General features: G+C 34.3%; 1 long non-coding RNA gene across 2 annotated transcripts in view; it reads left to right on the top strand.

Moving 5' to 3' along the window:
* The window catches only part of LOC105370214 (uncharacterized), a 477,307-nt gene that overhangs the window by 109,830 nt on the left and 349,764 nt on the right, over positions 1 to 17,713 (top strand). For both annotated transcript variants that reach the window (XR_941977.3, XR_941978.2), the window contains exon 2: positions 9,417 to 9,547. This is a non-coding gene — a long non-coding RNA (uncharacterized LOC105370214). The remainder of the gene's footprint in view (positions 1 to 9,416; positions 9,548 to 17,713) is intronic.

Below are 17,713 nucleotides of genomic sequence, written 5' to 3'. Positions count from 1 at the left end.
TCTTCTTGACTAGTCTAGCTAGTTGTTTATTAATTTGGTTACCTTTATCAACAACTGACTTTTCGTTTGTTGATCCTTTTTATTTATTAAGTTTTTATGCTTTTTTAGGTCTGCCTTATCTTTATTATTCCTTTCTTTCTAATAATTTTGGATTCAGTTTGTTCTTGCTTTTTTTGATTTCTTGAGGTTCATCATTGGATTGTTTACTTGAAATCTTTCAACTTTATGTTGTGGGCATTTATTGTTAATACGCTTCCCTCTTAGCACCATTTTGTTGTATCTCATCAAGTATGATGTGTTGTGTTTATAATTTTATTTTTCATAATACACTTTTTGATTTCCTCCTCATTTTTTTTCCTTGATACAATGGACATTCAAAAGCATCTTGTTCAATTTCCATATATATTCATAGTTTTCAAAATTCCTCTTTTTATTGACTACTAGTTTTATTCTATCATGGTCTAATAAGATATTTGATATTTTGATATTTAAAAATTTGTTGATGCTTTCTTAATGGCTTATCATGTGGTCTATCCTGTAGAATGTTCCATGAGCTAATGAGAAGAATGTGTATTCTGTGTATTCTGTAGTTTTTGGATAAAATGTTCTTTAAATATCTGTTAGTTCTATTTGTTCCAAAGTGTAGTTTAAAGCCAAAATTGCTCTGTTAATTATCTTTCTAGATGAACTTTATAATGCTGAGAAGGGTGTGTCAAAGTCCCCAAATATTTTTGTATTGGAGTTTTCTCTCCCATTAGATCTAATAATATTTGCCTTATATATCCAAGTGCTCTAGTGTTGCTTGCATGTGTGCTTAGAATTATTATGTCCTCTTGCTAAAGTGATTTCTTTATCATTATATAATAAACTTCTTTGTCTCTGTTATGTTTTTTGAGTCAAATATGTTTTATCTGGTAGACATGTGGCTACTCTTGGTGATTTATGGTTTCCATTTACATGGAGTATCTTTTTTTAATCTCTTTTCTTTCAGTCTACATACACCATTATTTATTTTTAATATTATTTGTTCATTTTGTTTGTTTTAATTGTTTTTGTTTGTTTCTTTCTTTCTCATTGTGGTTTGATGATTTTCTGTAGTGGTAATACTTCAGCCCTGTCTCTTCCTCTTTTGAGTGTTTGCTATACCTGTGAATTTTTTTTTTTGCTTTTTTTTTTTAATTGTTTTATTCATGGTAGTAGATATTGTCTTTTTGCTTCCAGGTGCAGTACTCCCTTACGAATGTCTTGTCCAGCCAGTTAGGTGGTGATGAATTCGCTCTACTTTTACTCATGTGAAAAATATTTTATTTCTTCGTCATTTATGTATAATTTTGGTGGGTATAGTATCCTTGACAGAAAGTTTTCTTTTTCTTTCATCACGTTGGAAATATTATCTCATTTTCTCCTGGCCTGTAATGATTCTGCTGAGAAATTTGCTGTTAGTCTAATGGGGGTTCTCTTAAAAATTAGTAGTCACTTTTCTCTTCAAGTTTGTGAAACTCTCTCTTTATTATTTACTTTAGACAATTTGGCTATAAAGTGCAGTGAAGAAGACTTAAATTATATGTATTGGAGTTCTTTGAGTTTTCTCTTTCTAAATGTCTTCTAGAGTGAAATTTTCAGCTATTATTTAGTTAAATAAGCTTTCTATTACTTTAATTTTCTTTTTGCCTTCTGTTTGCCTTCTAACAATTTAAATATTTGATTGCTTTATAGTGTTTCATACGTCACATAGGCTTTATTCTTTTTTATCCTTATTTCTTAATTTTTATCTGACTGGATTATTTGAAAAGACCTGTCTTCATGTTCTCAATCTTTTTTCGACCTGATCTAGTTTATTGTTGAAGCTTTTGAGTGTATTTTGCATTTCATTTAATGACATCTTTAGCTCCATAATTTTTGTTTGATTCTTTTTTAGGATAACTATCTTTTCGGTAAATTTATTTTATATTGTGGCTTCTTTTGCTGATTTCATGGCATTGCTTATCTGAGTTATCTGGAATGATATTTCCTTGCTTGTGTTTCTTGTGTCCTTATGTTGATGTTTGTGCATCTGGTGTAACAATTACTTATTCCAATTTTTTGAATTTCTTTTCATAGGAGTGGACTTTTTACTGAAGATGTATCTATGATATTGGTTGGATAGGGCACTTTGACTTTGATTCTGGGTGACTGCAGTAGTATAGTATCCATATGATTACTTTTGCTATAAACAGTGACAATAGAGGCTCTGATTGTCTCAGTGGCTTATGGTAAGGTTTTTAGTGGAGACTGCTGTGAATTTTTGCTGGACACAAGGAAGTCATTTAGGACAGTTCTCAAGACCTAGCGATAGAAGTTGTGGGCCAAGCATGCCTGTCCTTTGGCCCCAGTGCAGTGTATGCAGTGCATATACTGCAGACCAGTTCTTGGACGTCCAGGCGGCTTACATAGGTGTCAGCAGTGGCAGCAATGGGCTAGGTAGGTGGTGGGTCCTCAAGATTTTGGGCAGCAGGTATGGCAGAGGCAATGGCAGTAGCAGTGGCTGGACAATTTTCTGGCTCTCAAGCTTTCCATGTGGTAGTTGGCAGTAGCTGTGATGACCTGGGCAGCCAGTCTGTGGGCCAACAGATAAAGAATGCAGGTAGATGTCACTTGTGCTCAGGTGCCAATGGTGCTGGATGTAGCATGGGGATTCCCATACCCCTAGATCGTGTGTTTGGGCACTAAGTGGGTGGAGCCAGCCTAGAAAGATCTGGCCTCAGGTCCCCCAGTAGTGCACAATAGTGCCTGTAGACCCTGGCAGTGGTAGGCGTGGGTTGGGTGCCCCAAGTGGAATGCTCAGGTGGCGATCACAGTAACTTTACTTTGGCCCTGCTGCTAAAAAGGGTGAGGTGGCTTTAAGTGGCAGTGGCCACGAATATGTGGCTAAGGAATATGAGCTTTGATCCTAGATTGTGGCTGTGAGCTGGATAGCCTGTCCTCAAGGCGCTTATAAATGCATAGTGAGTTTGCTGCCACTGGCTTGTGCTTCAGTCCTGGCAAAAACAGCCAGCAGTGCTTGGCGGTAGGCAGGGGATGTCAGTGGGGCTCCAGGGATGTGAAAATTCAAGGGGTTTTTAGCCTCAGGAAAGGATGCAATCTGATGGACCTAGGGTCTCAAATAGTGCCCTGCTGTAGCTGCTTAAGATTTGGACATTGGGACCTAGCTGGAGTTCCGTCTCCAGAGAAATACCGTGGCATAGTTTCTAGGCAGCTCCTATGTTAATTTCAGGGGCCACCTGGGTCAATAGTTGCCCTGTGGCTAGAATTGCAGGAATCTACAGTGGGAATGTGGAGTACTGAGGGTCACTTATTTATTTATTTATTTATTGAAACGGAGCCTCAGTCTGTCACCAGGCTGGAGCGCAGTGGCGGGATTTCGGCTCACTGCAACCTCCGCCTCCCGGGTTCAAGTAATTCTCCTACCTCAGCCTCCGGAGTAGCTGGGATTACAGGTGCGCACCACCACGCCCAGCTCATTTTTGTATTTTTAGTAGAGACGGGGTTTCACCATGTTGGCCAGGATGGTCTCAATCTCTTGACCTTGTGATCCACCCGCCTCGGCCTCCCAAAGTGCTGGGATTACAGGCATGAGCCACCACGCCCGGCCCTGAGGGTCACTTTTTTTTTTTTTTTTTTTTTTTTTTTTTTTTACAGTTCCTCTGCATTGGAGAGCAGGCTCCCAGCCAGCCCATCCTGGCTAAACAGTCTCACTTACTTCTCTCTTCTTTGCCTTAGGTGTTTTCTGTCACTTCTCTGTTGAATTCCAGTGTTTTCTCTGCCCTCCCCTCCACTAAAAAATAAATTTGTTTTGAGTTATCAGAAGGAAAGAAATTCTGTCAAGCTATTACTCACCATTTATTCCCAGAGAGAATTTGCTTCTTAAATGTAATAATCTTTCAGTAAATATTTAATAAATGTTTTTGAAAAATTCTGAAATAAGTGTCAACTTGATTATAATATTCAAAATAGATTATTCATGTTTATAGGTACATATAAAATAGAAGTTGTTGCAACTGCTTCTGAAATGTTAGCCATATTTACAATGTTAACTTGCAAGAAAATAAGAGAAACATTAAATCAAATTTATGAGAATAGCCATTGGGAACATGTCAAAACAAGAGGTAGGAGTTTTACATTCAGTGAAATGATACTGAAAAGTATTCATTATTTTGCCAACAGAAAGCATGAAAAAAGGAAATATGATGAAATAGCACAATTATCATCTTGATAAGAGGAAAAATTTTAAACAAAATAGTTTTTATTTATCTCATAAGGAAAAACATATCTTGCTTTTTGCCTTTGTGAGAAAAAGAACAATATATTTTAAAGTAAACGATAAGTTAAAAGTTGAGAATAAGCTATTGTGAGGAGATTTTAGCTTATCAGAATAACAGTATTATGTGAGGATAGATAATATGAGGATAGTTAAAAGTAGAGTAGCTATACAAATATATGCTGCTAAAAATTTAAAAATCTGCTTTAAGTACCATCTTTATGATATTAAAATGTATTTAATGTATATTAACATATTTTTATAAAGATTTAATACAATTGTATATATGTAAATGAATATGTATATATGAAACACACACACACACACACACACACACATAAACCTCCAGAAGACACCTTAAAAATCTAGAAAATTCTTGCCATATGATTTGAGATCCGGAACACTGCAGATTAGTATACTCTTTTCATGCTAAACTTGTACCAAAACTACAGCTACATTCAGAGGAGGACAAAAAATTAAATACTTAAGACCAGAACTCCAATTTTTAATTTTTGGTAAACATCTATGTAGTACCTATTATGATATCAGTGATATATATGATTTTCTTAATGTTAGCTATTAATATTTGTCATCTATGTATTACAAATATGTTTGAAGATGGTATATTTTTGTTCAGAATGTTAAATAAAATAATTCCAAAATCAGTTAAATACCTATATTGAAAACAAATTATACCACGGGACTATGGCTCTTACACAGTATTACAATTGTATTTATAGTATAAAATTACACAGATAATTTTCCAAATAGACTCATATTAGGGAAAAAATATTTCTTAAGTCACAATTACTCTTCTTTACTGTTCTTCAGACTCAAATTGTTATATACCTATGGAGATTGTTTAAACCTAGTGGACACTGGGAGTTAAGCAGCAAATTTTTCTCTTGAATTATCAGTTTCAAGCCTTCCCTAAAAGGTACAGAATATGTGAAGTAATTTAATGTATTCCCATTTCTGAGAAGCCTTATAACTAAGCTAGAGGCATTCCTCATTACTGCCTATAGCAATCTTCGCTTCCAGCTTACTAGCTAAACCCTGACTGCAGGGAAGTTGTGGTGTGATGAGAGAGAACTGTGTTCCCTTGAAGCAATGTCAGGGAACCTTGCTAACAAAGGCAAAAATCTTATCTCCTAGGACAAGCCTTTGGAACACCGTCTTCGATGTATGACTTGAAAGATTCTAAATTTTTCTTAGAATTTATGTATGTATAATAATATTTTTTGAAAGTCCAGTTTGTGTGAGTTGATTTCTATTCTCTAAATTACTAACAGCACGAAATTAAGAAGATAATTTAAATGACATGTACACTAGTTTCTTCATGTGTAAAGTGTGTGAAATAATGCCTGCATTGTGAAAGGATAATAAAAATTGCTTAGGTTGTTGCCTGCATACACTAAAAATAACCATTCAATTATTAGTTATTGCTATGAACACATATACTATATGAGTTTATCTATGTGTGTTATATGTATAGTAATATACATATACATGTGCATATACAATATATGACATATATTTAAGATAGTACTGGATAATAAATGAGATCAGCAATCAGTTTATGAGATTTTAAGTTATATAAAACAATCTATTGGGACAAATCTGTTTATAGAAGTGATCAGAGTTCAATAAAAATGTAAAAGAAAATAATGAACAGAATAGTTTGAGTGATTGGGCTTAAAAATATCCATCAGTTTGCTAAACAATTTTGTGAGTCCAGCGTCCAAAGATACAGTTCCAATTCCTTAAAGTGAGATGAGGCTGGACATAGCCCAAGAGTGAATGAATACAAGACAGGTTGCTGAGTCACCGACTGAAACAGAATAGGAAAAAAACAAATTGTTGGGGACAAATGCAAAGCTCCAATATTAAAATGCACTAAATGCAGTTAGGGGTTAAAACAGAACGTTACAAGCTTACATTTTGATCAGTAAAACAAGAAATAATGATTTCCTTAAATTTTCTTTTAATGCTGGAAATGCCTGTTGGCTGTGCAGAGGGTATAAGCAAATTAGCTCGTAGAGTGTTGAGATTCTTCCTCTAGGGGGAAAAATCATTCCTATTCTGGGAAAGGAGCTGAAGAGATAATTTGGCAAAATAAAATTGACTGTAATAAGAAAATCTCCTCAAAACTAATTTGTTTTCATGATGATTTTTTTTGAAGTATAAGTGCAATTGATTCACCCTTTCTTGTGTATTTATTTGTAATTCATTAAAAAGGTATCTAAAAAGTGATTCAAGTTTGATCCACAAAATACCACTCAATAGTCTTCTCTATAAGTGTCAGGGTTAGTGCCATTAAATTAAATTTTACATACTCATACAAAATATACTTAAATGTTGCATCTAATATATATGGAATAGCTTTAGATGTCTTTTTTTTTTTTTTTTTTTTTTGAGATGGAGTCCCGCTCTGTCACCAGGCTGGAGTGCAGTGGCGTCATCTTCGCTCATTGCAGTCTCTACCTCCTGGATTCCAGCCATCTCCTGCCTCAGTCTCCCAGATAGATGGGATTACAGGCCCGCGCCATCACGGCTGACTAATTTTTGTATTTTTAGTAGAGACAGGGTTTCACCATGTGGCCAGGCTGTTCTCGAACTCCTGACCTCAGATGATTTAGCTGCCTCAGCCTCCCAAAGTGTTAGGATTACAGACATGAGCCACCATGCCCGGCCTAAATGTATTTTAATTATTCTGGGGTAATGTGGCTGTGTTTTCTGCAAATTGCTCCCTACATAGGATGTAGGATTTTGCAAACAAAGTTTTCTGCCTTCTTTATGCAACTGAATTATTACCAGGATGAGGGATATATTTTGAAACAAAAAATTTTCAAGTTTTACTAAAAAATACTTTTAAAATTATTAAATCTTACACTATTTTGAACAAGCTCATAAACTGCACATCTAATTTAAAATATGTCTTCAATTAAATTTCATATTAAAGTGCTATGAGCTTTGAATGATTGTAATAGCTATCTGCCTACTTTGATCCAAGGAATTTTAAGTAGTTCAAATGCTGGATTCCATTTTTCAGGCTTCCTTATTGACTACGAGGGAGGTTTACAAGTAAAAATAAACTTTTCTACTCCCTTTGCCTCATGGTTTTGTCTACCAGAGTGATTTACATTGTGCAGGTATTAACTGGACATGGAAAATAAAAATTTGTCGAAGAAGTCTAAAATCAAAAAAATGTTTATTGAATATAGAAGTAGCATCTCACATACAATATGTTTATGTATGGAACATGCATAAAAATAGATAATTTAGAATTTTAAGAATTTTATTTCCAACTATTTCATATATAATGTAATAATACCTATAAATATACATTTATAGGATATTTGAGCGACAAACATAATTATATAATTATAATATACCTTTTAATCAACAATAGCTCAGGTAAATATGTCTAACACTAAAGAAATTAAGAGAATGTCAGAAATAAAAAACATGGTGGGAAACAGAATAGTTTTGAATTGAATAGATTTCAGTTCAATTTTATAATTGTCCTTTTAAGCAGTGTAATATTTGATAAAATATTTAAATTTTAGTTTCCTTTCTTATTCAACGGGAAGAATGATTCACCTACAGTAAATTTTTATAATTGTTATAATTCATTTCAGTTTCCCAGACCACATGTAAACAGTGGCCAATGATAAGCTTAGATGACATTTCTAATCCCATGATTGCAAATAGCTATGCCAAGTCTTGACTTTTGCTGAGCCTAAGAGTGGCAGGTGAGGATTGTTTCTTATTTTAAGCCATAGCATTATTCCAGTGTTTCGAGATTTTAAACACTTGGATGAAGTACAAAAACAAGAAACTTTTAATAACCAGACAAGTTTTCTCAGGAGCGTTGGATTTCCTCATTGGATCCAAAAAATATAATAAAAAAGGAACATTTCTCCTATTTCATTAGCATAGTAGTGATAGATCTTTGGTATAGTGCCTGTTGAATAGACTGAAATCTGGTCTGAAAAGACAATGTGCAAATGTCTGAGCAGGGTTATAATTACTTTGTAATTTCAATTCCAAAACTGAGCCACAAGTGAAACCTCTGCTATCATCAACCCAGAAGGGCCTTGTTCACTTATGCATAATTCATTATGCTTAAATGTCAGCTTCTGTGGATGCCATTTGCTGAATATACCAAGTTTAACCAAGTGGCCACGTTGAAGGTATTTACATTTCCATTTGCCCACTGGGATTTTCATATGTCTGTTTGAAATGTACCACATAAGTCGAACCTTTCCTAAGACAAGAAAAACAAAGGCAGGGTTTGTGTATGGTGACAGCAATGTTGCAATGTGACATCTGCATGTGGGTTAATAGTTCCAAAATGGAGCTAAGCTGTGAGTAATAAAGCAACCAATATAAGAGCATATTTAAATTATTTAATATGAAAATATAATAAGCAATAAAGTTTAATAAGTTTTCAAAATGGGATTTAGAATTTATAAATTGGAGGGTGAAATGAATAAAGTTGCTATTCATAACAAATATTATTTAAATAATAATGGTTATTAATGCTTAATATTATTACAAATAAAATTATTTGACATGTAATTAATTTTGATAAGGAGGTAATGGGTTACAGAAAAAATAACCCAGAGATGGAATTAATTTTTAATAAAAATTAATAGAAAAGCATGTATCAAATTACCAGATAAATATTATCTTTAATTTCTTTTTTTTTTTTTTTTGAGATGGAGTCTCGCTCTGTTGCCCAGGCTGGAGTGCAGTAGCATGATCTCGGCTCACTGCAAGCTCCGCCTCCCTGGTTCACGCCATTCTCCTGCCCCAGCCTCCCGAGTAGCTGGGACTACAGGTGCCCACCACCACACCCAGCTAATTTTTTGTATTTTTAGTAGAGATGGGTTTTCACCATGTTAGCCAGGATGGTCTTGATCTCCTGACCTCATGATCCACCCATCTCGGCCTCCCTGAGTGCTGGATTACAGGCGTGAGCCACCATGCCTGGCCATATTATGTTTAATTTCTATAATACCAAAAGGGAGAATTGCATTTATCTATGGCTATACAGTGGATTAAAACAATGACTTCACTCATTGCAGTCTTAATATTTTTTCTGATTATATAGGTTGCCTTGATAATTCTGCTGATCTTGCCTGGCTTTACTAATGTGCCTGAGGTTGTCTAGAAGATGAAATGGAATGGGTGGATTTGGTGGAATAGGTGGATTCGGTGGAATGGATGGATTCAGTGGAATGGGTGAGTCTTTCTCCACATGGTCTTTCATCCCAATCATCTTCATTCTCTGGTGGCGTCAGGTTCCAAAAATGTAAGAGCTGAAGCCCCAATGCCTCCTGAAAATGAGTCTTGGAAACCTCTTAATATTATTACTGTTGCTTTATATTAGAGCAAGTTGCAAGATCAAGAAAGAGTTGGGAGAAATAAGATTCACCCTTTAAAAGGTATAGAACCAAAGATTCAATGGCCATATTTAATCTAATGGAGGAATTTAATAATCAAATTATTTTACAAATAATAAACCCAAAGGCCCAATGAGTTATTTGTTTTCTTGCATCATTTATTTATTGGCCTGCCCGATGATTTTCATATCTGTATGTCTGAAGAAAGACGACGAAGCAAAAGTTTTACATGATTGACAGCTAATATCTGTAACTGAACTGTGAACAGCAATGAATGAGATGTTGTCAACTGTAAATGGACTGCATGTAATGAAGAGGAAAATGACAAACATTACATTACTTAAAAGCATGAGTAGCTTCTAAGGAAAAATTGACTGGGATCCATCACTCCAGCACTGACATATGTCACTTTTTTTTGTATTACGTTATTTCAATTGAATAGAAAACTATAAAATATACTATAACAAATTTTTATATACATATATATGTTGTTACACAGCAATAGGACTTTTAGGTATGTACACTAGAGAAACGCTTGCATATGTACACAGTGAGAAACATGAGATTGTTTATTTAAGTATTGTCAGTAGGAGATAAATGTTTGAAAATCAATCAACAGAAGAGGAATAAAAGGTCAGTTAAATGATAGCTGCAATGTATCGAAAATAACACCTCCATGTTGTCTGATATGGTTTCACTGCATACCATAGATGTTCTTTGTTACATATTATTGAATTGCCACCAAAAAGACAACACTCAAACGTGTTTCCTGCTGTCACTGCATGGTCAGGATCTGTCTACTCTGAGAAGGCTGAAGCCAGTTGTTCAAAAAAGCCACAGATTGAAGTCACAGCAAAGTATATTGAATGCTTCTCCTTGAGACACTTTTATAAATAATTCTGATATGAGCTGGGTGCGGCGGCTCATGCCTGTAATCCTAGCACTTTGGGAGGCCAAGGTGGGTGGATCACCTGAGGCATGGAGTTCAAGACCAGCCTGACCAATATGGTGAAATCCCATCTCTATTAAAAATACAAAAATTAGCTAGGCATGGTGGCACATGCCTGTAATCCCAGCTACTTAGGAGGCTGAGGCAGGAGAATTGCTTGAACCCAGGAGGTGGAGGTTGCAGTGAATCAAAATCACAAGATTACGCCACTGCATTCTAGCCTGGGCAACAGAGCAAGACACCATGTCAAAAATAAATAACTAAATAAATAATAAAAAGTGAACAGAATTCTGATATTTAAAGCCATGAAATAATAAATAACCAGGCACATAGTACACTCAATTTCCACCTAGTAAAAATTACATCTGTACAAAATGCATTCTGCAAACAGAAAATGTGAGCCCACGGTTTCCCATTTATAATAGAAGTTTGTATTGAATGAATTTTTTCCATGTGTCTGTCACTGTACTTGAAGACCAGTTTATGGATCATATTTGAAATTATTTTATGAATAAGAAATACATTTAAACTCCATAAGAAATACATTAAAACTAAAGGGATGTGATAAGAATAGCAGTTTGGGGAAGGAGAAAACTGTTACCGGGATAGGACAGTCTGTTCTCAAAGAAAATCACTGAAAATTTTATACTATATAAGTAATGCATTTCTAAATAGTCAGTAGATATTAGTGCTTTTACTTTGCTTTCTTTTCAAAAATTTGAGTATTTTATTGATTCTTTTACAATGCACTTTGGTCATTCTTGATCTACAATTAGTGAAATACTAAAACTTGCACTGCATTTTTGTTAGATTAACCTAGATTGAAATTCCAGATTCATAATTTGGTATGTACCAATTTATAAAATGGGTGAAATAACATAATATGTGAGATAATTTCCAAAATCAAACTAAAATCTATAACAATCCATTATACTTTGTTGGGATATAGGATATAATTAAAGTCTCCCAATATAATCAATCTTTTTTCCTTTGGGCAATTAAATTACTTCTTTATTTAAAATAGTTATATACCTGAAAGAAACCAGTATGATCTAGTGAAATACATGCTGATTGGGGATCACTATTACAGGTTACAGGCAGCAGATTAACTTTTAGCAATTTATTTATTTTCCTAATTGCTAATTTCCTTATATGTAACATAACCTACATTTTGATATTTTTTCATTACTTTTAATTTTGAAGATCAAAAGATCATAGAATTTATAATATTCTGAAAAATACAAAATCATATTAAATTTGTTAAAGCATTCTTTATCCAAATTACTTCTTTTGTAAACTAAGGGTATAATAAAAATATTTAATATTGAAAAATAATTTACACCTAAGCAAAAAAAGTACAATCACATAAACTATAACTCACTTTCAATGAGTAAATAGGTACTAGAATTTACTCCATGAGCTTGAACAAATTATACAATTTACTTAAACTTTAATTCTTAATAATATTTATTTTAGTGCATAGTTAATGCTTTCCCTCTTTATTGGTGTGGGGTTTGAGGGTAAAAGAGATGGAATGCTTTAAACTTATTATGGGACAATTTATTGACAGCAAACAGGAAGTCTCTATAAATGAGCATGATTGTGTTAGTGTGAAATGGAAGTGGGAAGGAGAGGTTAGTTATGAAGCTGAGAAGAAACAGGAAGTGAAGTAGCATGCATTTGTTATTTATTCTGACACAGACATATTAATATCTAGACTATACTAGGTTATGTTAGAGCTCAGGAAACTTTATTAGAGTAAAGCTTGGTATATGGTCTCATTTAAAATCATATATTGTAATTTAAAAAAGTTTACATATATTTTTGGTACAAGTTTAGCTAGTAATATCTAAGGAAAGTTTAACTCATTTAAGAAAGCCTATTTTTAGGGGAAAAAAAGCTTAGTAACAAATGTACTAATTAGAAATTATTTTCATTGATCTTTCCAGAGAACAAGAAAACAATTTCTGCTTTCTTAAGGTTCTTCACAAGAACTAATACTTAATAAGTAAAAATGGGTCTATTTTTATCAAAATAATATTTGCCTATGGCAGAAAATGCACCTATAAAAATTGTAACATGATTATATAAACTACTATATTCAGAATCAGTTATGGAAAATTGCACTTGTATGTTTGCTAAATTGTACTGGTAATTGAGCAAATATGGCTACAGAGTTCATTATTGTTTCTCTTACAGGCTTTTCTAGTTACTAAATTCCTGTAGCATATCTATCAAGCATGCATTATTTTCCTCTGGTTTTAACTTGGGAGGTGGTGCCTGACAGTAAGAAATCTATGGGTTACCCTTATAATCCATTTTGCCTGAAGCTGGGTTTGGTTCTATGACACTTTGTTCAGTGAAAACGTAGTCCATCCATACATATTACTTAATCTCCCACACTCTAGATTTCAAGTATCTTCCACTAATCAATAGTATGAACACATGATTTTACAGTAGACATTCTCCAGTATAAAGAAGCTCATTGGTCAACATTCACTCTACCTCACTACTTTATTCAACACTCTATATTTTTAAAACTGTAACATGGTACTGGTACCAAAACAGAGATATAGATCAATGGAACAGAACAGAGCCCTCAGAAATAACGCCGCATATCTACAACTATCTGATCTTTGACAAACCTGAGAAAAACAAGCAATGGGGAAAGGATTCCCTGTTTAATAAATGGTGCTGGGAAAACTGGCTAGCCATATGTAGAAAGCTGAAACTGGATCCCTTCCTTACACCTTATACAAAAATCAATTCAAGATGGATTAAAGGCTTAAACGTTAGACCTAAAACCATAAATACCCTAGAAGAACACCTAGGCAATACCATTCAGAACATAGGCGTGGGCAAGGACTTCATGTCTAAAACACCAAAAGCAATGGCAACAAAAGCCAAAATTGACAAATGGGATCTAATTAAACTAAAGAGCTTCTGCACAGCAAAAGAAACTACCATCAGAGTGAACAGGCAACCTTCAAAATGGGAGAAAATTTTCGCAACCTACTCATCTGACAAAGGGCTAATATCCAGAATCTACAATGAACTCAAACAGATTTACAAGAAAAAAACAAACAACCCCATCAAAAAGTGGGCAAAGGACATGAACAGACACTTCTCAAAAGAAGACATTTATGCAGCCAAAAAACACATGAAAAAATGCTCACCATCACTGGCCATCAGAGAAATGCAAATCAAAACCACAATGAGATACCATCTCACACCAGTTAGAATGGCAATCATTAAAAAGTCAGGAAACAACAGGTGCTGGAGAGGATGTGGAGAAATAGGAACACTTTTACACTGTTGGTGGGACTGTAAACTAGTTCAACCATTGTGGAAGTCAGTGTGGCGATTCCTCAGGGATCTAGAACTAGAAATACCATTTGACCCAGCCATCCCATTACTGGGTATATACCCAATGGACTATAAATCATGCTGCTATAAAGACACATGCACATGTATGTTTATTGCGGCATTATTCACAATAGCAAAGACTTGGAACCAACCCAAATGCCCAACAATGATAGACTGGATTAAGAAAATGTGGCACATATACACCATGGAATACTATGCAGCCATAAAAAATGATGAGTTCATGTCCTTTGTAGGGACATGGATGAAATTGGAAATCATCATTCTCAGTAAACTATCGCAAGAACAAAAAACCAAACACCGCATATTTTCACTCACAGGTGGGAATTGAACAATGAGATCACATGGACACAGGAAGAGGAATATCACACTCTGGGGACTGTGGTGCGGTGGAGGGAGGGGGGAGGGATAGCATTGGGAGATATACCTAATGCTAGATGATGAGTTAGTGGGTGCAGCGCACCAGCATGGCACATGTATACATATGTAACTAACCTGCACAATGTGCACATGTACCCTAAAACTTAAAGTATAATAATAAAAAAAAACTGTAACAAAACCTCTCGTCATATTCCACACATTTTAGCAAGTTTGAAATTCTAATCAGGATAAAACCATGGCTTAGATTCTATATTGCATAAAGAAAAGATTTTTCATATAACAAAATAAAAAGCATCTTTCAAGTGTTGGGTTAAAGAAGTTAAAATAAATGAGATAGTTGTTCAGAAAAACATTGAACTTGCAGTATTTTTTTTTAATCTGACATAACAGGGCTGCAAATGGAAAATCAATTATAGAATCCTGGTTGGAAAGTAAAATTTCCTCTCAATGAAGTAATTTCTAAATACAATTATTATGTAAATATGTGGACTGCTCTTTTATTCTTATTTGTTTGGAGTTAATTTGCAATTATTAAATAATTGGAAGAAATATTGTATAAATGATAGACATCCTGCCTAGGCTTGAAATCTTCACATGAAGGAGATGCTCACCATCTTAGGTTACAAAGTATCTTCACATGGCCATTTTAATTTGGTATAAAAATCCCAAACTATTAAATGTTCTGATTTGTTTGAAATAGTGCATGATATCACTATTATAGTAGGGACTTCCAGCGCTCACCAAGATCTGGTTTTTCTCTACTTCTAGGCAGAATGAAAAAATGCATGTCTTACCCCCTCACACGTAGGGTCATGAGACGTTTTTTGGCCAATAATAATTGAAAATTATTATTAAAAATTGAAAATAAGTTAGATAAACTCATCATAAATTTTGAAAATAAGTAGAAAAGGAAACTATTAAATTCTCATCTATTTGAATGTACATATTTATGAAGGGAATAAAATTAAGATGGGATTTAAAGAATAAGTATGTTAATCTGCTTGATAGTGGTGATCATTTCACAATGTACACATGTATCAAAAACATCAAATCCTATGCCTTAAATACATGCAGTTTTATTTGTCAACTTTACTCAGTAAAGCTGACAAGAAGAATCAGTTGTTGAGATGAGATGGAGTAAAGAAAAGTATATTTCAGGTTTTGAAATAACATAAAATAATTAACATCCCTTCATGTTAAAAACTCTCAATGAACTAGGTATTGAAGGAACATAACTCAAAATAATAAGTGCCATATATGACAACCCCACAGGCAGCATCATGCTAAATGGGCAAAAACTGGAAACATTACCCTTGAAAATCAACACAAGGATGACCTCTATCACCATTGTTTGCAGGTGACATGATCCTATATCTACAAAACCTCATTATCTCAGCACAAAATCTTCTTAAGCTGATAAGCAACTTCAGGAAAGACTCAAGATTCAAAGTCAATGTGCAAATATCACTAGCATTCCTATACACCAACAATTGTCAAGCCGAGAGCCAAATTATGAATCAACTCCCATTCACAATTGCCACAAAAAGAACAAAATACCTAGAAATACAACTAACAAGGAAGGTAAAAAATCTCAACAAATCACTGCTCAAATAAATCAGTGGTGGCAAAAAGAAATGGAAAAACATTCTATGCTCACGGATAGGAAAAATCAGTATCATTAAAATTGCCATACTTTCCAAAGCAACTAATATATTCAGTGTAATTCACATTAAACTGCCATTGACATTCTTCACAGATCTAGAAAAAAACTGTTTCAAAATTCTGTTATAAAGACACCTGCATATGTATGTTTGCTGCAGCACTATTCACAATAGCAAAGACATGAAATAAATTAAATGCCCATCAGTGATAGACTAGATAAAGAAAATGTAGTACCTACACCCGTGGGATACTATGCAGCCATAAAAAAGAATGAGATCATGTCCTTTGTAGGGACATTAATGGAGCTCAAGGCCATTATCCTTAGCAAACACAGGAACAGAAACCCCCCCCCCCCAAAAAAAAGGGCCCAAATAGACAAGGCAATCCTAAGCAAAAAAGAACAAAGATGGAGGCATCATACTACCTCACTTCAAACTATACTACAGGCCTACAGTTACTAAAACAGTATGGTACTGGTGGAAGAAAAGACACATGGAGCAATGGAGCAGAATTAAAGAACTCAGAAATAAGAATGCACACCTACAACTATCTGATCTTGGACAAACATGATACAAACAAACAATGGAGAAAAGATTCCCTTTTCAAAAAAATGGTGCTGGGGTAACTGGCTAGCCATATGTCTTTCTTACACCATATACAAAAATTAACTCAAGCTGGATTAAAGACTTATATGTAAAATCCAAAACTATAAACACCCTGGAAGACATCCTAGGCAATATCATTCAGGATGTAGGCATGTGCAAAGATTTCATGATGAAGATGCCAAAAACAACTGTTACAAAAGCAAAAATTAATGAGTGAGATCTAATTGAAGAGCTTCTGCACAAGAAATGAAACTATCAACAGAGTAAACAGACAAACAGATTGCATAAAATATTTGAAATCTATGCATCTCACAAAGGCCTAATATTTAATGTCTATCAGGAACTTAAACAAATTTACAAGGGAAAAACCAAGCAACCTCGTTGAAAAGTGAGCAAAAACCATGAACAGACACTTCTGAAGACATACATGTGGCCAGTAATCATATGAAAAAAAAAGCTCAACATCACTAATCATTAGAGAAATGAAAATCAAAACCACAATGAGATACCATCTCACACCAATCAGAATAGCTAATATTAAAAAGTCAAAAAATAAAAGATTCTGATAAGGTTGTGGAGAAAGGAAATGCTTATTCACTGTTGGGAGTGTAAATTAATTCAATCATTGTGGAAGACAGTGTAGCGATTCCTGAAAGACCTAAAGACAGAAATACTCTTTAATCCTGCAATCCCATTACTGGGTAGATACCCAAAGTAATATAAATCATTCTGTTATAAAGACACATGCATGCCTATGTTCGTTGCAGCACTCTTCACAATAGCAAAGACATAGAATCAACTAAAATGGTCATCAATGATAGCATTTATGTGGTACATATACATCATAGAATGTGGTACATGTACACCATGGAATACTATGCAGCCATAAAAAGAATGAGATCATGTCCTTTGCAGAGACATGGATGGAGCTGGAGGTCATTATCCTTAGCAAACTAACAGAAAAACAGAAAACCAAATACTGTGTGTTCTCACTTATAAGTGAGAGCTAAATGATAAGAACACA

The sequence above is a fragment of the Homo sapiens genome, chromosome 13 (assembly GCF_000001405.40).
Source record: "Homo sapiens chromosome 13, GRCh38.p14 Primary Assembly".
Classification (NCBI taxonomy): Eukaryota; Metazoa; Chordata; class Mammalia; order Primates; family Hominidae; genus Homo; species Homo sapiens.
This window is presented reverse-complemented; position numbering and strand designations above follow the sequence as displayed.